Here is a 24370-nt window from a genome sequence, read left to right as displayed (position 1 = left end):
CAGTTTTCATATGTGTAAAATGGGGATAATAACATTTATCTCATTTGATTGTAATAAGAATAAAATTAGTTTTTAATGTAAAGTCCTTAGAACAATTCCTGGCACATAGAAAGTGATATATAAGGATTTGGCCATTATTACCATTGTTATTATTGTTACCATGTTGTTACTGTCATAGAAAATGGATGTATCAGACCTGATTTAAGTGTTTCTGTAAAGATGAAATGAGATTATATGTAAAGAGCCTCACCCATCAGGCACTCAGAAAGTGGACATGCCCTTCCCTCATCTTCCCGTTCTGCCTGGTACTGTACTAGAAAGGTGATAGATGTTCTACAGATCCTTGGAACAGATTGATACCTTTCCAGGGGCTTGAGAGAATAAGCCATATCTTTTCTCATTTACGGGCTATTAATGTTGATTCAGCATGCCCCATCTCTTAGGTTAGCAATATAAATAGCTACTTTTATTAAGTGTTCCTTATTTGCCAGACACTGCACTGAACACTTTACGTTATTTTTCTTAATGCTCACAACTCTAATGGTTGTTCATGCTCATTTTTTAATAGATGAGAACACTAAAGCCCAAAGAAATTAATCAAGGTGGTCACCTAGCTAGTATATGACAGACGCAAGACACCAGCGATACCCATCTGACTTTAAAAGCTATGTTATCAGCCACTACACAACCCAATCTCCTGCCAAAAATCCCCTGAATAAAAGGGGAGTCAGGGGCCCCAAGAGAGCATTTGCCATTTAATTCATTGTTTCCTGAGTATCTTCTAATAATATATACCAAATTTGGGACCTGGAAACTACCAGATGGCCAGTCAGACACAGTCCTCATGCCATAACCAAGAGACTGTTTTGGAGGGGGAATGGGTACCCTATCAGGCAGACTGTGGGAGAAGCCCTGGCAAAGAAGGTAAAATCCCATTGGCCAAAATCACTTTGATGTCAGCTGTGCAGACAGGGATCTGCCACAGGGAAGAGCCCCCAGAACCCCTGGGCACTGGCAAACGAGGGCAGGCAGGTAAAAATCAGGGTAGTCCACTGGAAGTGGCCAATTTCCTTAGCAGTCCATCCAAACTATGTTCACCATCAGTACACAAGGGCCCATTGAGGGCGAGAGAGGTGAAATGGGGGGATTATGGACCAAGGGCAAAAGAGGGAAGCAAAGTCTTGAGGGAAGTGGACTGTTCCAGCCCCTCAGAGAGAAGCTGAAGAACATTTTTTTTCACGGACAGGGTGATGAATCACCTTTCCAGAGCCTATGCACTGCCAGTCCTCTGACAATGTTTGTTAAATGAAGGGTCAAACGGGCAAAGGCAGAACAGCTGCCTGGATATGAACAATCCCAGCATGGACTTTCCCTCTCATTCCTCGGGTGCTCCTCATCAGGCTCGAGGGTATGTGTCACCTCCAGTCCCGAGTCACTGTACTGACCTCCCACCGACTGCCCACTACACCTCATAAACCCCAAGTCCATGGATGAAGGGAAACCCCATGCAGAAGTGTACCCTGGTGCTCACCCCCATGGCAGAGCCCACTGGACAAATCCTGTACGTAACAACAGAAGAAGAGCAGAGCACAAAACCCTCACAGAGGCAGGCCCCCGGAGCACTGGAGGAAATCTTGCCTTCCTCCCACACACCATCACTCAAACCTGTCAGCTTCCAAAAATGTTTAGCAAGTGCAGCAGCAAGGGGCATGCTTATCAGCCTGGTGTGGGAGCTTAATCTGCTTTGAGGGCCTTCTCCAGCCCAGAGTTCCAAAAGTCTGCTTACAATTAGCTTCAGCTCCAGTTCCCGCATCAGAAAGCCTAGGAACGTGTTGAGCTCTAGCCTCTGATCAGAGAAAGCTCCAGGAGAAGGTGGAGATGGTGTCAGCAGGGAAGTATGTGCCAAAAAGGTCAGCTGGTCTGTTGCCATTTTCCTGACACCAGCCCCAAACCACCTCCCCTCTGGCTTCCCGCCTCTCCTAACCGGACAGTCACATCCGTCAGGTCGGCCTGTCCCCAAAAGTCCCTGCTGACTGACTGCCAAGAAAATATAGCCCCCTCCTACCAGAAGAAGGGGGAAATGGAGCGGGGAGGACCAAGAGAACCTGATTGGCCCTTGCTAATTTCTGTAAAAGAGATTGCACGGCCAGGGCTTGTCTGGATGCAGGCTCTGTCTGGAAAGGTAGGAGTCACCAATTCTCTTCAAGCCATCTCCCATCCCCACGCCCCGTCACTCGGGCTACCAACACCAGGATCTACCACCCAGGAAGGAGGGGCTTAGCTTCGGCCGCCATTCTGAGGCAGCCACCTCCACCCCCACCCCCACCGCAACAGCCAGCCAAGGCGCTAGGAGTCTCCAGCTGCCGGCCTCAGCTGGTGCACTAGTACCGCAGTCCCAGCACCTTGCCCGGAATCCCGTCACCCCGCAGGATGGGGCAGGGACAGGTCATCTTCAAGCCAAGGGAAGAGCAGGTTCACTGCCACCCGCGATCCCCTTTTCTTCCTGGATCTTACAGCCAGGCTAGGGGGCGTCGAACCCAATGGGGCCTTAGATCATTCCTTGTCCGGAACAGAATCTCTGCGGAACCGCCAGACAGACACACAGCTGCTGCTGCGGATACTGGCTTCTTGGGGCCAAGACCTCAACATGCAGGACCTCACATTTCCAGCGATGCACACGTTTTTTGAGAACATCCCGACCTTTCCTCCTCCCCAGGAAGATGCTGCAGACGTGCCCGCCATCCCAGGTCTCGAAGAGCTCTTAAGGCAAACCTCCGGCACCCGGGCCACACCCACCGGCCGGCCCACTCTCCTCGCGCATCCCCCAACCTGCCGGCCTAAGGGGAATGGTTCCCTTCCCTGGCCACATGGTAGACCCTTCTCCCATCCAGCCCTTTCTCCCACACCATCCCGAAAGAACTATTCATCCATCCTTCCAGAACAGTACCCCGGCAAACGGCATCTCTCACCTGGGTATCGAACCCGTTTTCCACCGAGCCGCTCTTCCGCAGCGGGAGCCCCTCCCCCGCTGGCTCCTGCAGCCCCTGCAGCACCTGCGATTTCAGGGGGATCTGGCTAGGATAGGTGGTCTTGCTCACCTCCACCTTGCTTCCCAACTTCAGGTAGCAGGGCTGGGGGCCCGCCCGGGCCGGGGGCACGTGCAGGATGGGCGCGGCGCTGTGCACGGGTTTGGGCAGTCCCGACTTCATTTTGGAGGCGACCAGGATGGCCGGCATCTTCTCCCGGGGCTTGGGCTTTCCCAGCACGTCCCTGGCAGCGGCGGCGGGGGCGACCGCTAAAGGCAGCGCGGGTAGCAGAGCAGGCGCCGGGCCTTAGCCCACGAGGCGCCCACCACCAGCGGCTAAAAAAAAAATCCCCAGGTCGGGGAACTCGAAGCAATCGGGCGAGCGCGCCTTTGGGGTGCCGGGATGGGAATGGGGGACTGGCCACGGCGCTCAGCGGGTCCCACCTGGACGGATGCTGCCGCCGGGTCTCACACCTCTCCTGGGTGGCCTTTCAAGAGCTCTGGGCGCTCAGGGGCTGCCGCCTCTTGCAAATTTCCTCCTGGGAAACAGAGGCTTGGACGCCCATATTAACTTGTCACTGCATCTCCGAAGTGAGGAGGCCCCTTTGGAAGAGACAGAGGCGGCGGCGACCCACGAGTCCCGTTCCGGAGGCTACGGGTCTGAGCCGGCGAGAGAAAGAGCGAGCAGCCAAGGAAGGAAAGGAGACAGCAGCGAAGGAAGGAGAGAAGAAGGGCGCAAGGGTCCCAAGACGTCTCCACCGAGAGGCAGCTGCCACCCTGCTCGCGAGCACCGCAGTGTCACCCGCGACGCAGCAGAGGTGCGGCAAGAGCCCCCGAAAGGTCTCTCTTGGGGTGACAGTCACCGCTGCCCAGAAGGCCCCCGGACTGAGAGCACCTTAGCGCCTGCGGGTCTGCACATGCTCCGTGAGCTAGATAGAGGCAAGGCTGTGGCCGTGGGGCGCGGGCGCCGGGACGCGCGGCTGGCGGGCCGGGCAGGGCTGCGCTCGGGAGCGGCCGCCGCGCTTCCCGGGAAGGCTGCGCTGGCTGCGGGGCTCAGCGCAGGGGAGGACAGGCTGCTGCCGGCGCTGCTGCGGCGCGCGCTGACAGCCGGGGCCGCCCCGGCGCGCCCATTGGTCCACGGTGCGCCAATCAGCGGCCGCGGGTCTCACTGCAAAGAGGGTGTGGCCTAAACTCTGGCCGCCGCCGAAACTCTGGGGCCGCGCTTGGCCGCGAGTACAAAGCGGGCTGGTGGCCGCTTTGCGGCACTGCCCCGGCCGCGCGCCTCCCGGGGGGCCCACACCCCTGCGTTCCTGAAACCCTTCTTTTGAAAAATGCCCTTTCGAACGCAACCGTCCGCCCCAGAGCCACGCGGGCACGGCTCGAGGGAAGTTTGTTTCCTTTTTCAAATTGCTCCGGTCACCTTAACGGTTTGAGTCTTCCGGAGTCACGCCCGCAGCCTCGCTGCCCCCATCTGGCTTGGGCAGGGCCGAAGCTCGTCTCCCGCTTTAAGAGCGCGCCAGCCATTTCTCTGCCTGCTCTTCCAGGCCGGCTGGGCGGGGGGCCTCCCAACGGCTTCCTCTCCAGTTTTCAAAGGCTGCACATTTCACTTAACTATTTGAAGTATTTATAGGCAAATACAATACGCAGGGAAGCTTCCCGCCCCGAGACAGCTCCTCCACGCAACCTACCACAGACTCTGTAATTAGAGTGGCCTGAAGAAGCCGGGAGAGGCTCCATGACCCCGGCAGGCTCTGGCCAAACCTTGCTGCGTTTCATGGAGCCCCTCCCTGTCCGCGCCTGGGACGCACTGGCCCCAACAGGTTCCTCGACTCGAATTCGCTGTTTGGGTTGCTCTGTGGTTTCCTCGCTGACTGAAAGTGGATGAGAATAAGAAGGAAACTGAGAGATGATCAGGCAGGCCAGCCTTCGCGATTTATGAATGAGGAGCCTCCCACCCTGTAGAACTGCTTGGATTAGAAGTGGGCAAGTTATTTAAGCTTACATGCATGCTTATAAAGCTTCTGTTTTCACATGTAGTAAGGTGGAGGCTTGACGACATTTACCTAATGAGCTGTTGTTTGGATTAAATGAGATGGTTGGTGCATGGCAGTCATTTAGCACAAGTACCTGGCAATGTAAGAGACCAATAAAAGCTGGGCTTTATTTTCCCTGTTGTTAAATTACTGCTGCTTTCCCCCAAAGTCATCTCTGTTTATAAACTATTTGTCTTTCTTCTTTGTTTCCAGGACACTTTGTGCCCACCCTATAGCCTGATCTTCAGTGCTGATAGCATTGATTTAGAATAACTCAGATGCTATTAACTCTGTCCCCCTGGAATTCATGTTAAACCCGTAATCCCCAGTGTGATGGTATTAGGAGGTGGGGAACTTTAGGAGGTAATAAGGTCAAGACAGTGGAGCCCTCATGATAGGATTAGCACTCTTATTAGAAGAGACAGGAGAGAGATGCTTTCTTACTGCCTTGTGAGGACACAGAAGGCAGTCTTCTGTGGACCAGGAAGAGGGCCCTTACCAAGAATCTGATACCGTGTTGGCATCCTAGTCTCAGACTTCCAGCCTCTAGTACTGTAAGAAATAAATGTTTGTTGTTTAAGCCATCCTGTTTATGGTATTTTTGTTATAGTGGCCCAAAGTGACAAAGATCTCAGACCAGAGGAAACATCAAAGTCTTAACCTCTGAAGCATTAAGAAATGAGAAGGCACCTTCTTAGCCATTCTAGGTAGCAACTTTCTACTCTAGTTAGGCTGAAATGCACGGCCCTGTCTATGTCTGTTTCAGTTATCCTCCCTCTCTCTGAAATCAAGTCACACATCATTCATGCTACTTACTTAACACTTTGCCCTTTGCCATCTGATGCCACCTCCCGTACTATTGTCTCCCATTATTTAACCTGTTATTTATTGTTTCATGCATTCATTTTCATCTTAGAGAATAAACATCTTGGAATTAGGAGCTGTGTTTTAACTTTCTTTAGATCTTCTCAGTATGGAGCATAAAGCTGTGGACAGAATAGCTACCCAACATTTATACTGAATGAATGATTGAATGATGCTAGAAGAAGGAGAGATTGTCTTTTAGATTTAGGAACATAAGGACATACGAAATATTATGCTATAAACCTTGGGACTCTTTTGCCTGCCCTGAATTCTAGTTCTGACCAGTGTACCAAGATTTGTGGAAAGATATCACAATCTTCAGCTTCTAAAGATCAGGGAGATATTCCAAAGTATTCCCATGGCCCTAATGCAGTGGTTCTCAAAGTGTGGTCCCTGGAGCTGCAGAAGCATTACCTGGAAACTTGTTTGAAAGCTCCACCCAGACCTATTGAATCAAAAGCCCTGGGGATGGGGCCCAGCAATCTGTGTTTCAACAGTGTTCAACCTAGTGATTATGATGCATACTAAAACTTGAGATATTCTGCCCTAATGAATATATCATGCATTCAGTGCATCTCCAGAACTTCTTAAACCTTAATATGCCTAAGAATCACTGGGGATCTTGCTAAAATACAGATTCAGATTCAGTTGGTCTAGAATGGGGCTGAGATTCTGCTTTCCGAGTAAGTTCTCATGTCATGCACATGCTGGTGTTCTAAAGATCACGCTTTGAGTAGCACAGACAGCAGGAGGATTTCATCTTAAGGGCCATCTACTGAAAAGGATCTCAGAGTGCATCCATCTAGTTGGAAATAGCCGCCTGATCACTTGATAATGTCTGCTATGGGTATATAAATGGAAATAGTGAAATACATATTATGTATTTGCCATCTTTGGTTTCCTGTTTAAATTGTATTTACTGCCAAGGTCATTTCGGGGTTCTGAGACCCTCAAATATGCATAAATATGAACAACAGTATTTCTTTTAAAGTATTTCTAATGTTCTAGGATTGGTAAACATGAGCATTTCCCTTAACCCTGTGTGTTTTATATAACTAAATTCTGATAATTCTTCATTTTTCTTGATGAAAGATCTTTCACTTGAGGACAAGTGAATCTTTTAGTCTGTTTCCAAATTTCTTTCTTTTCCTGCCTCTTCTTCCCTTTAGTAATTCTATTTGCTTTTTCCTGGAGCATTATTTATCTCCTTTTTTTTTGTGACCGAGTTTTGCTCTAATTTCCCAGGCTGGAAGCTGGAGTGCAATGGCGCGATCTTGGCTCACTGCAGCTGGGATTACAGGCGCATGCCACCACACCCGGCTAATTTTTGTATTTTTAGTAGAGACGGGGTTTCGTCATATTGGTCAGGCTGGTCTGGAACTCCAGACCTCAAGTGATCCACCTGCCTTGGCCTCCCAAAGATTCATCTCCTTTTATATCTTTTTTTTTTTTTTTTTTTTTTTGAGACGGAGTCTCACTCTGCTGCCCAGGCTGGAGTGCAGTGGCACGATATTGGCTCACTACCCAGGAAGCTCCGCCTCCTGGGTACACCCCATTCTCCTGCCTCAGCCTCCTGAGTAGCTGGGACTACAGGCACCCGCCACCATGCCCAGCTAATTTTTTGTATTTTTAGTAGAGACGGGGTTCCACCATGTTAGCCAGGATGGTCTCGACCTCCTGACCTCGTGATTCGCCCGCCTTGGCCTCCCAAAGTGCTGGGATTACAGGCGTGAGCCACCGTGCCTGGCCCTATCTCCTTTTAGATATTTTCTATAAACGTTCATTTTTCTTATTTAAAGCAAAATAATTTATCATAATAACCAGACAAGGGTGGGGCGGGGGGAAGCTATTTTTTCTCCTAGGATAAATGAGATAATTATAAGTTTCTTACTTAAATAAGATAATCTCAAATTATAAAAACGGCCTATAAGTTTACTCCTTCCACACTGATACTGTGTTAACATGAAAAACGTCATTTTAAATCAATGTTTTGCAAGCATTGGAGGCTAACGCAAGTCACTGGTTTGGAGAATGGCAAGCTGCTCTGGAAAGAATACACTATCCAGGTATTAAAATAACTTTTTTCTTTTTTTCTTTTTTTTTTTTTTTTACTATATGCATTATGGACAAGTATGCCAAGTTGAAATGGCCCACCATTTTAAATTCCAACTTTGACAACCATTCTTTATTTTTCTTCTGGCTCAGAACTTGCAGAATCACCCAAATGTCAGTGATAGGCCAAATTGAAACGTATTATCAAAGCTCTCAGGTCCACTGAATCATCCTAAGAGACTGGATAGTTCCCTGGTTCTAAGAGCCATCCTCAGATCAGGAAGTGCCAGCTGCACCCCTCTCTGCTCCTCAACGTCAGCCACTTGTGATTAGTTGAGTGTGAATTGGGCTTCAGACCTGACCTGTGAGTGACCAGTTCCATCAACCCATCCTTCATCTTAGTTAAAGACCCCTGTTGGCCTGACCTCCCAAGAAGACAGTCCGGTGAAGAGCCTGGAACATCTAAGGCCCAGCCTGTCACAAAAAAATGCAGGGATCTTGGGGGGAAAAGTCTACAGCCTTTTGGAGACCCTAGATTATACATGATGAGGGGAAATGTTGCAAAGTTTCTTGAATAATATAAAAAGCAAAATATTTATGAGTTTATTTGGGAGTAAAAAAAATGCACTTTTCCTTAATTTTCTACAAATGGGTTGGCAACTTATGAGACATCTCCGAGATGGCACAAAGGCTCACCTTTTAGTAGTGGCTGAGTTGAGAGGCCACCCATCTCATACTGCAGAGAAGTGAGGTAAGAACCTTAAGACATCTCTTTGGAAAGTCTGCTCATCTACTCACCCTATCAGTGACTCACTTCCAATCTCAAACTTTCTTCCAGATGGGTCTGTGTGCAAATCAGTATGCCCAATGGTAACCTCTGGGGCTTTTTTTCTGAGAACAAAGGCTGAGGGTTCCCCTACCTGCAGAAGCTAGAGTGTGAGGGGTATGTATGTGTGTATGTGTGTTTATAGGCATTTGAGTCAATGACCCAGACTAAATGTCAAATAAATATAGTCACGCACTGCATAATGATGTTTTGGTCAATGACTGACTGCATATAATGATGGCGGTCCTGTAAGATTATAAGGAAGCTGAAAAATTACTATTGCCTAGTAACATAGTGGCAGTCATAACATTGTAGTGCAACACAGTACTCATGTTTGTGGTGATACTGTGCTGCAAGTTTTATAAAAGTATAGCGCACACAACCATGTACAGTGCCTAATACTTTATATAGTTGATGATAAATACTTGATAACAAATTACTATGTTATGGGTTCATGTATTTACTGTACTATTCATTGTTATATTAGACTGTACTCTTTCTACTTAAAAACATTAACTGTAAAACAGTCTCAGGCAGGTCCTTCAGGAGGTATTCCAGAAGGCATTGTTGGCATAGGAGATGACAGCTCCATATGTGTTTTTGCCCCTGAAGACCTTCCAGAGGGACAATATGTGGAGGTGGAAAACAGTGATATTGGCCCTGTTTAGGCCTAGGCTAATGTGTCTGTTTGTGTCTTCATTTTTAATTTTAAGAAGTTGAAAAAGTTAAAAAAATAACTAATAGAAAAAAGCTTATAAAGATATAAAGAAAATATTTTTGTATAGCTGTACAATGTGTTTGCGTTTTAAGCTAAGTGTTATTTCAAGAGTCAAAAAGTCAAAAAATTTAAAAGTTTATAAAGTAAAAAAGTTACAGTTAACTAAGGTTAACTTATTATTGAAGAAAGAAAAATATTTTTAATAAATTTAGTGTAGCCTAAGTGTACAGTGTTAATAAACTCTGCAATAGTGTACAGCAATGTCCTAGGCCTTTACATTCTCTCACCACTCACTCACTGACTCACCCAGAGCAACTTCCAGTCCTACAAGTTCCATTCATGGTAAATGCCCTATCCAAGTATACCATTTAAAAAAATCTTTTATACTATATTTTTACTGTACCTTTTCTACGTTTAGATACACAAATACCATTGTGTTGTAATTACCTATGGTAATCAGTACATCAACATGCTATACAGGCTTGTAGCCCAGCAGCAATAGGCTATAGAATATAGCCTAAGTGTGTAGTAGGCCATCCCATCTAGGTTTGTGAAAATGTACTCTATGATGTCTGTACAACAACAAAAAAGACTAAAGACTCATTTCTCAGAACATATCCCTATTATTAAGTAATGCATGACTGCAGGTAGCAAACCATTGATTAATCAGTGGCTCAATAATTAATACAAGGAATAAATTGTTGCAAGCCATCTATGTGCCTGGCTTTGGGCATTATGATGGAGAGCAGATAAGAATAAGTTATTGCTCTCGGCTCTCAAGTTTCAAAGAAGGATGTAGCTGCTGTTTCTCACCTGAGGATTGTCCTTTCTCGAAACTGAAAAACAGAAACAACTCACAATCTAGTAGGGAAACCAAACAGGGGAATAAATGAATGACAAACAATATAACCAATACTCTAATAGAGGCAGCACAAAATATACAATGATAAATCAGGCACAAAGGAGGGTCAACTATTTGTGGGGTTATCAGGTATGTTGATTAATTTAATTTTGTAACAAAAAACCTAAAGTAATAGAGAGAATTTTTTTGCTTTTACCCTTGGTGTTGAAACTCTAAGAGGTATGTTCCACTCTCCTACTTCTATAAGTTAAGTCTAGGAAACATTCCTTTGTTTACATCTTGCCTCATCCCACAAAGGATTAGAGGAAAGCCTGTATTCAATAAAACAATGGCTAAATATAATGTAATAGAAGAAAAGGATTCTTATTTAAAACTTAGACTGTGACTACTTTCACTTTCTGTAGGTGGGAGAAGGCTGTGTAAATAAATCATATCAGTGGAAATATAAATCACATATCACTTCCTTCCATATTCAGGCACTAATATCTATTAGTGCCAAGTCTGAGATTTCGAAGTCTGCCAGTTCTAAGCTGCTCAAGAGGTCCTCTGAGTATATGGTCTTAGAGATACATTAGTGAGCATTTGGATATGTGAAGGTCAGCCTAGAGTCCAGGGGTCAAGCTATATTGTCATCTATAATAAGTGAGAAAAATTCCATTTCCTGGGAGCGGTTCAATATGAAGGGCTCCCAAAAAATGGAGTAGCCAGAGCAGTGTGAAGAGCCTACTGAGGAGGACAAAAAACACAGACAAAAGTGCCAAAGTAAAACCCGTTTATTTTCCCAAAATAGCAACAAAGCCTGCTATGCTACCAAATACTTGGAGTGACTTGATTTTTCTTTAGGTGGGGGAACATTGCTATTTTTTTTTTAAAGAGATAAGTTTTGAATTTGGGGTTGTTTTGGCACAGAAGGAAGAGAACAGAGAAAAGAGATAGACAAGAGTGAGATCCTAAGATTAATGGGAGCAGAAATGTAATCAGGGATGGCCACGAGAATGAAATTGTGCCTCTTCCCCATCACCCTTGCTCCTCATTCAGTGATTTGCAGAATCCTGGACAGACAGGGAATTGGATTTCCTGTTTGATGTGAGATAGAATGACCAGGCAAATTTAATTAAGAATGTCTTCTAACAAGGAGCTGGGTCCAGGAAAAATGTAAATAAAAGATAAGTATCAATTATATGTGTGGGCAAAGAGGTCAAATAGGGAGAGGGAAATCAAAACGTCTGGATTCTCCAGTCCAAACAGTTGGCTCTAGCTGGTATTTTGGAGTGAGCACCACCTAGGGCTTTACCTGCAAAAAGTAAAGGTGACACTGAGCTGAGTATGTTCAGATTCTAGGCTGGATCTGACATGCAAGGTTTGTTTTGTTTGTTTGTCTGCTTGTTATTTTTAATTCTCCACCCACTTTTTCACTATTACAGAAGACTTATTTATTTATTTATTTATTTATTTATTTATTTCTACGAATTGAGGTCTAGTTAATTCAGTTTCAAATTGATATTTAAAAATTATTTCTTTTCTTTTTTTTTTTTTTTTTTGAGACGGAGTCTCACTCTGTCGCCCAGGCTGGAGTGCAGTGGCATGATCTCTGCTCACAGCAAGCTCCGCCTCCCGGGTTCACGCCATTCTCCTGCCTCAGCCTCCCGAGTAGCTGGGACTACAGGCGCCCGCCACGACGCCCGGCTAATTTTTGTATTTTTAGTAGAGATGGGGTTTCATCCTGTTAGCCAGGATGGTCTTGATCTCCTGACCTCGTGATCCACCCGCCTCGGCCTCCCCAAGTGCTGGGATTACAGGCGTGAGCCACCGCGCCCGGCCTCTATTCTTCTTCCCACACATATGACTAGGCAACCATAGTTGACCCAATAATAATGATGATGCTGATAAGAACTGTAATTTATGAAGTTATTCTTCTTATGTGCCAGAGACTAAGGTAAGCATTTTACATACATGATTTCTCATGCTCACAACAATTTCATGAGGTAGATAGTTATTCCCATTTTTATTTTACAAAAGAGAAAAATGAGGCCCAGAGAGGTTTGAGTATCTTACTTAAGATCCTACTGCCAATTAAGTAGAAGAGCAGGACTTGACTCCAGTGCCTGGACTCTGGACAGTAGACAGTATACTATCAAAGGAATAGCCATCATAATGATAAGCATGGAAATGATAATGTAACTTCCTGTTTCTGATACGGTTAAGATCTGCCTTATATATGGCATTTAAATGAATCCCCACAGCACTCCTGAGTGGTGGCAGAATGAGTCCATTTTAAGTTGAGGAAATGAGTGGAAAGGTTTGGTAGTCACCCAGTTTGCTAATGACAATGGTCTTAATAATAAGGCAAGGAAAGATCACCAGTTACAGGGGGTGGTCTTTGCGTGATGTTCGTGCTCTGAGACAGGGCTTCCTGCTATGTTCATCTGGAGGCAAAGACAACTTCGACCAGTACTCCTTAAACAAGAAGCCTAAAAATCACCCAGGCTGCTTGTTAAAGGAAAAGATACCTACCCCCTTCCACCCCCCCAAAAAAAACCAGACCTAGGATTCTGAAGCTGTGAGTCTGCATTTGAAAAAAGCAATGAGGTTACTCTGAATTAGTGGTCCTCCCCTTTGCTTTGCATCCTTGGCTTTACATTAGAGTCACCTGGGAAATCCACAAACTAAGGCTGTCCTGGTCCCACCCTGGACCAATGAAATCAGATTCTGGGAGTGGGCACAGGCAGTAGAATGTTGAGAAAGCTCTCTGGGTGCAGACGAATTGAAAAACATGGCTTTATGAAGCGCTGCAAAGGCTTTGCTCTCACAACACTTTACAGTGGGGGATTACTGAGGCAATAATCTGGATAATTTCAATCTATGTTAACAGCCAATCTGGAAAAATCCAGGCCTTCTATTACTTTCTGAGTGAGATTTCCTTTTTGACAGAAACACTCAGCCAGTCCAGCTGCCCATGCAGCCCAAACACAGCCAGGTAATCCCCCCAATGCCGCCTCAGCTCCAGCGGTGCGGGTAGCATCAGGCAGCCTGACCCTTACTCGTTACTCTACCGGTTGCTCCTGCAGGGCCACCAGGCACTGAGCTGCGATGCTCCCCACCTCCCCACGGCTCTCTCAACACATTTCCTCTTTTGGTTACTGCTGTCATCCTGGAAGCCTTCATGCCTACCCTCTGACTCTGCCCCAGGCATGGAGCCTGGTGAGCCTCAGATGGAAGAGGTGCTGCTGGTCAATGTCTGACCTCCAGGAAGAGGCCCAGTGCCCAGGGTTTAGGACTCTGAGAGGAGGATTTGGAGCAGAGTTAACTCATGAAGGTCTGTGCTAATAAAAGGATGTGTTGGCCTAAAAAAACCTCAATAGTGGATAATTTAACAAAAATTAGAGCTTTGGTATGCATTTTGTAATTTAAAAAAATATTATTTTCTTTATTATTTATATATATTAGCCTACTGTTAAAATTATTTTGCTAATATATTTATGTGTGTGTACATACGTATAAATAAACATGTTTATAAAGAGAAGGAAAAAGAAGGAAGGAATCGTGTCGAATTGTTAACAGCAGTTCTTTCTGAGGGGTAAATTAGGGACTATTAATTTCTTATTTTATACCATTATTTTTAAAAGTTGGAATTATGGGTGGCTTTAACTTACTTTTCCATGGGATTTCCTTTTTTTTCAAATAAATATTCTCATTTGTTTTAACCTTTTATTTATTCAAGGGACTTATTATTATTATTATTATTACTATTATTATTATTATTATTATTATTTTGAGACAGGGTCCTGCTCTGTCACTCAGGCTGAAGTGCAATGGCACCATCTCAGCTCACTGCAAACTCCTCCTTCCGGACTCAAGCAATTCTCCTGCCTCAGCCTCCCATGTAGTTGGGACTATAGGCATGCACCACTGTGCCAGCTAATTTTTGTATTTTTCATAGAGACAGGGTTCCATCATGTTGCCCGGGCTGGTCTCTAACTCCTGGGCTCAAGCAATCTGCCCGCCTTGGCCTCCCAAAGTACTGTGATTACAGGTGTGTGTGCTTGGCCTCAGAGGACACTTATTAAGCCCTGCTGTGAACCAAGCCCTGTGCAAATGTTGGTGATGTGGAAATGCAGAAAACTAGCTTACATCCATCTCTGCCCTCTCCTTTTTCAGGCAGGAGAATTGAGCTCCTTCTCCCAAACTAATAAACAAAACCTATGTTAGCAACCAAAAAGTGAAAATCCAGTTCTAGTTAAAGGGAGGTTATCTGTATAACAAAGTCACTGACAAGTGGGATCTCTTCTGACACAACTAAAAACCATTACCCCAGAAATTCCGTCTATTCTCCCTTCCTTCCAGGGAAGCGGATCCCACAGAATCATTGTCTACAGAAGTGCCAAGACCACCCCTGAGCACAAGGACTAGGAAATCAATTCTTTTCTGACTGATCTATCAACTTGCCTCTATAACTAATGATGTTGGTGGCCTCAAGACAATCTTCTTCCTGCAGAAACAGAGAAGATGGAGAGGAAAGTGGGATGCCAGAAATGAACCCTGCAGGGCACATGTAAAAGGGAATTCTAGTTAATGCTACCCCTTGGCTGAGCTCAAGGATGGTCTAAAAGCTGTCAACAAAACAGAGACACCCATGAGGATCTTTTGGGCCCTGAGAGCATTTGAAGTTGTGTGAAGATTTGAGACCATAAACAGCTGCATTGATTTCCGTTCCCTCTCCAAATCCAAGGCAAATAAAACCTCAGAGCTTCACGGGTGGAAAAAAACAAAATACACAGGAATTGTCTTTTATTTTTTGGCTTAGAAAGATATTGTTTTATAAACAGTGGGGCAAGACACTATTAAATTGTTTTCCAAAAATTTGCCTGGCAACTTTCTTGAAGCTCCACATTGCACAAGAATTTTAGACATTCACACACATTTATCAGAATTTCCTTTTCAAGGCAGTCTGGAAGTGCCTCAAATACGAACCAAACAAAGTTAGTCTCCCTGAGGTTGCAGTGAAAACTACTAAGCATCATCATCATCCTGGCTTCATTTCCACAAAGTCCATCTTTTCAAAAAACATCAGAATGTTGAATTAACTCCCATTCAGAATCATTTGCTTGTTAGGGTCTTATCCTTCCCAAGGGGTACCACAAAGGGCTGATTTGAGTATGCAGAATCCAGTTTTCAAAGGCGGCTGGCCGACAAAGCTGATTTCCTGCTGAGTTATCAAAGGCAGTCTTCTAGAATCCCCTCCCATGACCGTGGCCATTTGAGCACTTTCCTTGCCTTTGATCTCCACGACCCCATTTTCTTCTGGTTTCCCTACAGGAGAAACTCTGGCAGACCCCCCACCAACCCCCAACCCCTTAGATAGTTTATTATCAGGTTCCTTTCTAAGTGGGGTGAAAAAGGGGAACACGGAGGCTGGATCTGGCAGACTTCACTGTGGTGCCTGGCTTCATTTCTTATTGACTGATTGAGGCAAAGGTCCCCTCACTTCTCTGATCCTCAGTTTCTTCAACAGTAAAATAGGAATGATGACGACTATTTCACAAAGTTCTTGTGAGGATTTGAGATAATGGAGACAGAGGGCCAGGTGTAAGTCTAGAACCTTATAGCTGCTACACTCATTCATTCATTCTAATAGCGTTTTATGTTGCTACCAAATGCTGGGCAACATGCCAGTCACTGGTGATAAAATGTTAGTAAGAATCAAAATTCTTTTCTCGTGGAGCTTCCAATCAGGGAAATTGTAATTACATAACCACATCAGTGAATGTATAATTACTAAGTGAGGCAAGTGCTATGTTAGCAGGTAAGACATCTTAGACCCCTTTAGATGTTTGGGGCCAGGATCTGAAAGGCAAAGAGGATGACCAGGCAAGAATAGGGCTTTTGCTTCTGCCTGCCAGTGTGCTTCGGGTGGAGGTCTGGGCATTGAGGGGTAAAAATCTGGGTCCCCAACCCCACACTTCTCTGTGTAGAGTAAGAGATAATGTCAGGGTTTCGGTTGCTCTTTTGGAAGCTATTTAGTGAAGTAGAGTCTCACAGATGTTTGCGCTTAATTGGTTGTGTGATCTTGGCCCAGTCACTTAACCACTCTGAGCCTCAGTTTCTTACCTCTGCTGGTAATAAGGCCCACCTCCTGGATTTAGGGGGAAGATTAAAGAGAGGCAGTGGAGCTTACTGGTTAAAAGGATGATTTTGGAATTTGATTGCATACGTGTGACTGCATGGGTCCGAACTGTGCCACTTACTGGCAGTGTTACTTTGGACAAGTTACTTAATCTCTCTGTGCCTCAGGTTTCTCATCTGTAAAATAGAGTTTATAACAGTCCCTCCCTCATAGGGTTGTTGGAATGATTAAATGAATATAGGTAAAACACTAAACCAGTGACTAACACATGGCCACCACTATTATTATGATTACCATATTTCCTGGAACACATTAAGTATTCAAGCCACAGTTCCTCTCCCACCTACCTTAGGGCCACTGCATGATCCCTTGCCATGGATATATCTGAATGTGTGGAAATTTCCATTGCTACGACACTAAGTGAAGGCCCAGAATCTGAGGCTATGAGCCCATTGGGGATCCCTGTCCCTCTGGCTCACGGGGATCCTCCAGCATCTTGGGTAAGGGATCTGTATGTGCAGAGCTGGGGCATCCACAATGGACCAGGCAGGAAAAGGAAGCTAGAGAGTGTGTGATGGAAGCTCCCTGTAGACACTTTACTTGCAGTTTTGCAGGCCAGGAGAGGCACAGAGGGGCTCAACTTTTCTCATTGCAGTCCTGGATCACATCTGTCCACATCTGACCTCTTGCCTAACTAACTTGGTTCACAAGGAAATGCATGGTAAGGCTATGAATGTCTGTTATCTCAAAGTCGTCTATTCAAGGTGCTGCACTACTCTTCTACTATGGAGTATCACATATGGGATAAAAGCAGATCCCTACCCCTCATCACCAATAGCTGCCTTTGCCCCAAATATACGAGGTGCCCAAGGCAATCATCTCCAAGTGAGATGCCTTTTCTTGGAAAACAGGCTTTGCTTTCAGTGACCACCTCTTCATACTGGTATCTTTCTGACTCTTCAAAATCCATAAGTAAAATCAAGGGGATACCAGGATCAGCTCAGGTGCTATGGTAACCCAGGCACAGGAAGCCACTGAGGCTGGTGGCAGCATTTGGGGTAAGAACTAAACAGTTATGCACCAGGGTCTTCATCCCATTTAATTGCTTCAAACAATGCTTGGAAGTAATATTTTCCCCTCTTTTACAGACGAAGAAACAGGTACACAAGTGGTAATTTGCCCAAGGTCACAGAGCTAGGAAGAACCAGCATTCAAATTCTTAATTGTCTGATTCTAAACTCCATGCTTTGCTAAGACACTCCATTTGACATCAGCAACCTGGCACAGAATTCCTGACTGTGCTTCTTGTTTGCTGAAGATTTCAGCAACAGTGTTACTGATTCACTGTGGGCCACAGAGTGGGGGCCCTAGGCCAGTTGCCCTTCTTCACGCCTTTCTCTAGCAGGTGGCTGGAAGTAGGATCTGGAACAACTGCAAAAGTAGCTAGCAGTGGTCTTCTTCATAAGGCAGGGGGCTAAGTCATAATGTCCTGGAGTTCAGGTATGGAAAAGGACTTCAGAATGTCTGGAATCCTCTAAGTGGTCTTCTCCCTCCTTCTCCTTTTTCTTACCCGCCTACACACACACATACACACACACTCTCTCTCTCTCACATGCACACACACACGTGAGCACTGTCCACATGAAGCTTGCATCTGGTGGGAAGGCATGCCAACCGAGGTGTTGAAATCCATGGAGAGTCATGATTTGGCACCTGTGGAGTACTTTTCAGCACTTTGGAATGACAGCTTACTCGTCCACACAAACCCTTCCAGAAAGGTTGTGTCTGTGCCATTGTGGAGAGAGGAAATCAGAGCAAAGGCTATGGGTGGCCGTGGCCAAGCTGGAGCTGAACTTTTCACCTCTGCTCTGTGGTTGGAGCCAGGAGGCCTCTCACAGGTAGCTCCTGCTCCTGGTTGTGCTCTTCACAGTCCGGGTGACCTTGGGAAAGCCACTGCCCTTTTCAAGCTTAGCTTTCTCATCTGCAAAATAAGGGGTTTATTCAATGGCTCTCCACCAGGGCTCTCTGGGCCCACGGGGATCTAGAATTCAGTAATGGCAGTTAAGCAGGCATAATAACAGCTGCCATTTACTGAGGGCCTCCGACACATTTACTAGGTCCCTTGTGAATTATATCCCCAATGCTTAAAACAAAGCTGCAAAGTAGGGATGGCCACCTCATTTTACAGATGAGAAAAGTGAGCTTCCTAGAGGTCAAGGGGCTTGCTCAGAGTCACGTGGTAAATGATGGAGTTGGAATTCAAACCCTGGCTCATGTGTGTAACGATTACACCCCGTTCTCTCCTGGATTACACAATGAGCAGGGAAGTGGGTTTGCAGCTCCTCCATGGCAGCCCCATCAGCACTCAGCCCTGTGCTGTGATGAGTGGGTTCTGAGCAACAGTGTAGTGAAGATTCTGGTGGGCTTGATGATCTGAGTGGGCACAAGTGCTGGGTAGGCAAGGCAGCTTCCAGGGAAGGAGGCACAGAGCCAGCTGCTCTAGGACTGACCCCAGCGTTACGATAACGTGTCAAAGCAAGAGTTCAGTGGGAAAAAGGAGCAGGAGGCCCTTCTCACATTCCTCCCCACTCAGCACGGAGCTGCTGTCAGAGCCAATTGCCATCACAAGCATCTGCACCTTCCCTGCTCTCTTCTGAAGACAATGACCTACTTTTTGTTGTGTAGAAATGTATGCTAAGCCCCTCCCAGCAAATGCCTTCACAGTCTAGTTGTTACAGGTGGTAACTATTCCAATCACCTAACTAAAACCCAGTGTCCCAGTCGGGGTCCCCAAGACCCCTCCTGCCCCATCCTTGCCTCCCTCCCTAGTTTTTCTTTTGCCACCTGCACCAGCCATCTCCAGACATGCCATGCCCTTTAATCTTTCCTCTATAATAAAATCTGAAATAAAAAAAAAAAAGAACTATCTTGTCTCTTCCTGCATTGCCCTATTCAGGAAGAGGCAGGACAGTTCCTTTTTTTTTAAATTTCAAATTTTATTATAGATTAAAGGATATATGTGCAGATTTGTTACATGGGTAAATTGTGTGACACAGAGGCTTGGGGTCTCAACGATCCCATCATCCAGGCCAAAAGCATAGAACCCAACAGGTGTTTCTTCAGCCCATGCCCACCTCCCTCCCTCTCCTGTCTAGCAATCCCTAGTGTCTATTGTTCCCATCTTTACCACCATGTGTATTCAGTGCTTAGCTCCCTCTTATAAGTGAGAACATGCGATATTTGGTTTTCCATTCTTACGTTAGTTTGCTAGGATAATGACCTCCAGCTCCACCCATTTGCTGCAAAGGGCATGATTTTGTTCTTTTTTATGGCTGCATAGTATTCCAGGATAGTTCTGAGGTAAGTACAGCTCTCTGAAGGCACACCTTCTGTGGTCCTATTCTAGTTCCACAATGCTGTGTAACCTCGGGCAAGCGACTCAACCAATCTATGCCTCAGTTTTCTTGTCTTTGAAATGTGTACAACAGCACTATCTATATTGTAGGATTATTGTGAGGATTAAAGAGGAAAATCATATCTTAACACTACTTATAAGAAGCTCCCTAGGTGATTCTACCGTGCAGCCCAGGGTTAGGAACCACTGAATCAAACTATCATCTCCAAGAGGGTGGAGAAGGTGTCTTTTTGTGCTTAAAGTCCTTGGTGCTTAGAGAGCACAATGCCTGCTGCAATGTCAGCATCTTGGGAATAGTTTTTGAGTGGATGAATAATTCTATTTATTTGGAAGATTAAAATGTAAACAATCCTTTCTCTGAAGCCAGACAGCCAGCCACTATCATCAAGAACCAATTTCAAACCAGAACCAGTAAACCATGATCCTGATCATCAAGATGTTATGCTGGCTGAGGACTCCACTGTGAGACGCTGAGCTGAACTAAGCTCTGCCTTAGTAAATACGGTTGATATTTAATACTGACTCCTGGAAAACTAGGAACAATAGACTAAATGAGAGTCATGCAACACACAAAAGAGAAGGAGACTTCAATATGAGATAGATTTTTGGGCAGGTCAGTGTTTGGACATTTACTCTAGGATTCTTAGGTTTTTGTCAGGCTTCCAAGTTTCAAGGCCCATGCCAGGTTCAGACTTGAAATGGACAAATGCACTTCCTGAATCCTCACACCTAATTCCAGATGGGAACACTGGGAAATGTTTCTGACCAGCTGTACTGCTAGGACAGAAATTATTCTTAGCACAATGGCGTTGGTGGCAAGCCAGTTTATTTTTTTTATTTTTTTTTCCCGATGTGATTGATGTTCAAGTAGGCTGCCGAAAAAACCAGGAGAGCATTTCTATGTATGGAGGAGAAGGTTATGGGGGCATGATTCAGCATCTCAGTGTCATGTAGCATTTTGCTTTTTCTCCTGTGCTATGTCCTAGCAAGCCAAGCCTCATTCAAGGAACCATTAGCATATGGAGTAGAATGGGATTCAGTGAACAAGGCCTTAGTCAGGATTAGAAAAAAAAAAAAGCAGGTCATCTAGTGTCTTTATTTTATTTTATTTTATTTTATTTTATTATTTCATCCAGGCTGGAGTACACTGGTGTGATCCCAGCTCATTGCAACCTCCGTCTCCCGAGTTCAAGTGATTCTCCTGCCTCAGCCTCCTGAGGAGCTGGGATTATAGGCACACACCACCATGCCTGGCTAATTTTTATATTTTTAGTAGAGATTGGGTTTCACCATGTTGGCCAGGCTGGTATTGAACTCCTGACCTCAGGTGATCTGCCCACCTCAGCCTCCCAAAGTGCTGGGATTACAGGCGTGAGCCACCATGCCCGGCCCATCCAGTGTCTTTAGACAGAACTCAAATGGTAAACCAGAAGGGACAAAACTCTTTATGACAATAAGGAACACATTTTCCAGCTTGCACCCTGCAGCCAATCAATCCCAGGACAGCTAGGCTGTATTAAAATGCATAGAATGACCTGAAGTCAGGATAGGTCATGTGACAGAAAACAATGCCAGGTAAGGCAAAATCTAGAAAAAAAAAAGGCTGGGAGCAAATATTCCTCAAAGTCCACTCTGTGCCAGGTATTGTCATTCCCTGTTTACGGATGAGAAAACTGAAGTACAAAGAAGTTAAATAACCACTTCCATTATTAAGTGGCTGAACTGGGTTTTGAACTTGGATTGCAGACTCCAAAGTCTGTATCTTTCCCACTATGTCATGTTTTGGACCGGAGAGTGCCGACTCAACTCCCTGAAGGCCACCTTGGGTTGCCAGATAAGAGCAGGTAACTGACTGCACCTGGCCAGGGGAGTGAGCAAAGAGGCAGCAGTGGGAGGTGATCCCCTAATCAGGTGTTCTGATGCCAGTGTGTCCCTTGGCCTGGAATACTGGGAGTACATTCCCTGATCCAAGCCAAGTGGTGGCAGCTCTCTCAGGCAGTGGCACTGGATAGCACTTTGCTGCTGGCCACTGAGGTAGAGAGTATCAGGTCACACCCGCCTCTGCCAAGGGAACCTTGAAAGGGAAAACAGGCTCCGGGGACAGTGGAGGAACATGTCAGCAGATCCCACCGAACTGGGCCCAAGAAAGGCCTTTTTTCCAACCTAGAGAGGTACAAGGGAGAGCTAATGTGACAAGAAGTCCTAGCTTGCTGCCAAATGGACTTAGACGAGCAATAGCTGTTGGTCCCTTGGGTGGTCCCTGCACCCCTAGTCTATCTGCATGAACCAAGCTGGCTCTAAAATTTCATTCTAAGGAAAAGAGGGACCAGACACCACCAGCTGACCCCAGTGACTAAGGGCATTGGAAGTGACAGTGGGAGTTCTACAGAATGGCCAGTTCAGGATAATAGAGTTCTGGCCCTATCTCTTTATGACCAGAGGTGGGTTACTTTCATCCTTCCGAGTCTCAGTTTCTTCAGTGTAAAATAGGATAAAACTAATACCTCCCTCCAGTGGACCCTGAAGATGCTCTGCCCAGAGTACCATAGGTCCCTGTTCAGCGGCCCTCCCCTCCCCTGGCTTCCCTGTGCTTTGCTTCTAATGATCGGCACCTGTGAGCTTGCTCGGAGGCCTGCCCCTTCACCTATGCATGCAGAGAGCTGGTTGTGTCTGAGGGTTGACTCCCTGGGCAGCCTGTGGGTATATGAAAACCCAGCTCATTTGCCTTGCAGTGGGTGTAATTTAAGCTCCAGAACTCCCCACACAGTGCAGCTGAGGCTGGGACTCTGCCTGAAACCTCATCCTTGCTTGGCTGTATCCCTGTCCCTGTCCTACTCTCCTCTCCTTTACTGGTTTGTCCTGGGAGCCCTTCTTCAATAAGTCACAAATCCTCATCTTAGCGTCTGCCTCTGTGGAACCCAACCTGAGACACCACCCTGTTGGGTTATTGTGAAGATCAAATGACATCATTCATGTAAATTGCTTAGCTCACACAGGCAATAATCAATAAATGGCAGCTGTTTATTTTTAGATGGAACTAAATGAAATTGTCTATAACAACTACTTTTGACTCAAAAATGGTGATTTCCTATACATCGGCCTAATGATATTTTACAGTCCAATCTCCTAACATTCTCCCTCCAGCTACAATGAAGAGATCTTTCTAAAGAAGACCGTAGTCTACTCTAGTGGGTTCTCAAGCCAGGGTCTTCCATGTTCTATCCTTCCTAGAACAGTGCTGGCCTCCAATGTTACACCAGTCGCTGGTGTGTGGGCTCTACTAGGCTGAGACTGGGACAGACACACTTGTTATTTAACCAGAAAACCATGTGAATCTGGGCTCCACCTAAAACAGTAGAAAGGGCAGGGGTGTGGGTGGGAAACAGCAATCAGTGTTTGTCAAGTGGAAAAGGACCAGATCATAAATAGGAAAAATGTTTTCAATTTCCCCCAAGGGCAATGTTTTCTAAATATATTTTTGTTTTATTTTCCTCAAAAGATGACTTTGGTGGCCTCTTAAAGCAGACTGTTGTGAACCCACCCTTTGAAGGGCTATGGTATATTTATGGTACATTTCAGCTTCAAACACTGAACAAATGAACACTGTGTTTGTGTCAGCATGGCACTCCTGGTTGGAGACAGAAATAGGGCATGGAAAATTGTTGTTTGTATTTCCTCTAGCTGTTGCCGCCCCAACCTCATGACAATGGGAAAAGTCTATGTTACAAACAAGCCATCGGCTATCTCACTCGAAACACAGCATCCCCTCCCATCCCATCACGAGGGGACCCTGTGGAGGGTGAGAGTCACACGCAGAGGCACCACCTCAAACACAGAGGAAACCAAGGGCCCTGGCAGAGGTGGGCTGGTAGTAGATACGTGAAAGAGACAAGATTAATCTGAAAATACAAGGGCAGGAGGGCACCAAATGATCTGCTTAATTGGCAAGTGCCAGCCTTTGGTTAGATAGGAGGCTATGAGCTTGGAGAGAAGGTCTTGGTCAGGTTCCCTGTAGAGCCTGGGCAGGCAGCAAAACCTGTCCTGATCGGGGAGCAGCCTTGGCTGCCCTGTTCCCTCGGTTTGGAGCCTATCAAATGTACAACAGCACACAGAACACCTACCAGCTGGTATAATGTATATGCTATCAGCTTGTTTGCTGCCCATCCCCATCTCCCCTCACCTCAACACACATGCACACACTTGAATATTAGCTCCATAAGAGCAAGGGTTTTTTTCTGCTGCATCCCCTGAGTCTAGAACGATGCCTGGCTTGTGACAGGTACTCAATGCATATTTGCTGATTGAATGAATGAAGTATAATTGCCTGTATGATCAATATGCAAAATGCCTGTGGAGGCAATTAAGGACACTGAGGCATTAGATAAGATTTGATTTTGCTCATTAGATTCTACTTACTAAGGTAGGAAAAACTCAATCCAAGATTAGAAGGA

General features: G+C 45.7%; 1 protein-coding gene and 1 long non-coding RNA gene across 39 annotated transcripts in view, besides 6 other annotated features; one reads left to right on the top strand and one right to left on the bottom strand.

Annotated features, from left to right (window-relative positions):
* Window positions 1-24370, bottom strand: part of NAV2 (neuron navigator 2) — a 776366-nt gene that overhangs the window by 404670 nt on the left and 347326 nt on the right. For 24 of the 38 annotated variants that reach the window (NM_001244963.2, XM_011520444.4, XM_006718365.5 and 21 more), the window contains exon 1: window positions 2970-4095. The exons of 11 other annotated variants lie outside the window; for them this stretch is intronic. In NM_001244963.2, coding sequence (NP_001231892.1) covers window positions 2970-3236 — 267 coding nt within the window. In that variant the 5' untranslated portion in view covers window positions 3237-4095. Of the gene's footprint in view, window positions 1-2969; window positions 4096-24370 lie in introns of those variants that run through there. 3 more of the 38 variants (XM_011520448.4, XM_047427817.1, XM_017018524.3) reach the window with 2 other exon arrangements.
* LEISA1 (lncRNA enhancing IL-6/STAT3 signaling activation 1) lies at window positions 2260-5998 on the top strand. Its single transcript, NR_015384.2, has one exon. It is a non-coding gene; the product is annotated as a lncRNA enhancing IL-6/STAT3 signaling activation 1 (long non-coding RNA).
* Window positions 3861-4390: a silencer, noted in NCBI's record as "silent region_3200". NCBI's record gives its function as "represses an Ori minimal core promoter by ATAC-STARR-seq in GM12878 lymphoblastoid cells {active_cell/tissue: GM12878}" and the evidence as "EXISTENCE:reporter gene assay evidence [ECO:0000049][PMID:35858748]".
* Window positions 4027-4220: a silencer, noted in NCBI's record as "fragment chr11:19734258-19734451 (GRCh37/hg19 assembly coordinates)". NCBI's record gives its function as "represses an EF-1alpha promoter that drives an FKBP-Casp9 reporter gene in an ReSE screen in HepG2 liver carcinoma cells {active_cell/tissue: HepG2}" and the evidence as "EXISTENCE:reporter gene assay evidence [ECO:0000049][PMID:32094911]".
* Window positions 12923-13423: an enhancer, noted in NCBI's record as "H3K4me1 hESC enhancer chr11:19725055-19725555 (GRCh37/hg19 assembly coordinates)". NCBI's record gives its function as "activates a minimal SCP1, AML or CMV promoter by ChIP-STARR-seq in primed H9 embryonic stem cells {active_cell/tissue: H9 hESC(primed)}" and the evidence as "EXISTENCE:reporter gene assay evidence [ECO:0000049][PMID:30033119]".
* Window positions 13424-13924: an enhancer, noted in NCBI's record as "H3K4me1 hESC enhancer chr11:19724554-19725054 (GRCh37/hg19 assembly coordinates)". NCBI's record gives its function as "activates a minimal SCP1, AML or CMV promoter by ChIP-STARR-seq in primed H9 embryonic stem cells {active_cell/tissue: H9 hESC(primed)}" and the evidence as "EXISTENCE:reporter gene assay evidence [ECO:0000049][PMID:30033119]".
* Window positions 15332-15846: an enhancer, noted in NCBI's record as "NANOG hESC enhancer chr11:19722632-19723146 (GRCh37/hg19 assembly coordinates)". NCBI's record gives its function as "activates a minimal SCP1, AML or CMV promoter by ChIP-STARR-seq in naive H9 embryonic stem cells {active_cell/tissue: H9 hESC(naive)}" and the evidence as "EXISTENCE:reporter gene assay evidence [ECO:0000049][PMID:30033119]".
* Window positions 19036-19199: a silencer, noted in NCBI's record as "fragment chr11:19719279-19719442 (GRCh37/hg19 assembly coordinates)". NCBI's record gives its function as "represses an EF-1alpha promoter that drives an FKBP-Casp9 reporter gene in an ReSE screen in HepG2 liver carcinoma cells {active_cell/tissue: HepG2}" and the evidence as "EXISTENCE:reporter gene assay evidence [ECO:0000049][PMID:32094911]".

The sequence above is a fragment of the Homo sapiens genome, chromosome 11 (assembly GCF_000001405.40).
Source record: "Homo sapiens chromosome 11, GRCh38.p14 Primary Assembly".
Lineage (NCBI taxonomy): Eukaryota > Metazoa > Chordata > Mammalia > Primates > Hominidae > Homo > Homo sapiens.
The sequence above is the reverse complement of the archived record's forward strand: the minus strand, read 5'-3'. Positions and strand labels throughout refer to the sequence as shown.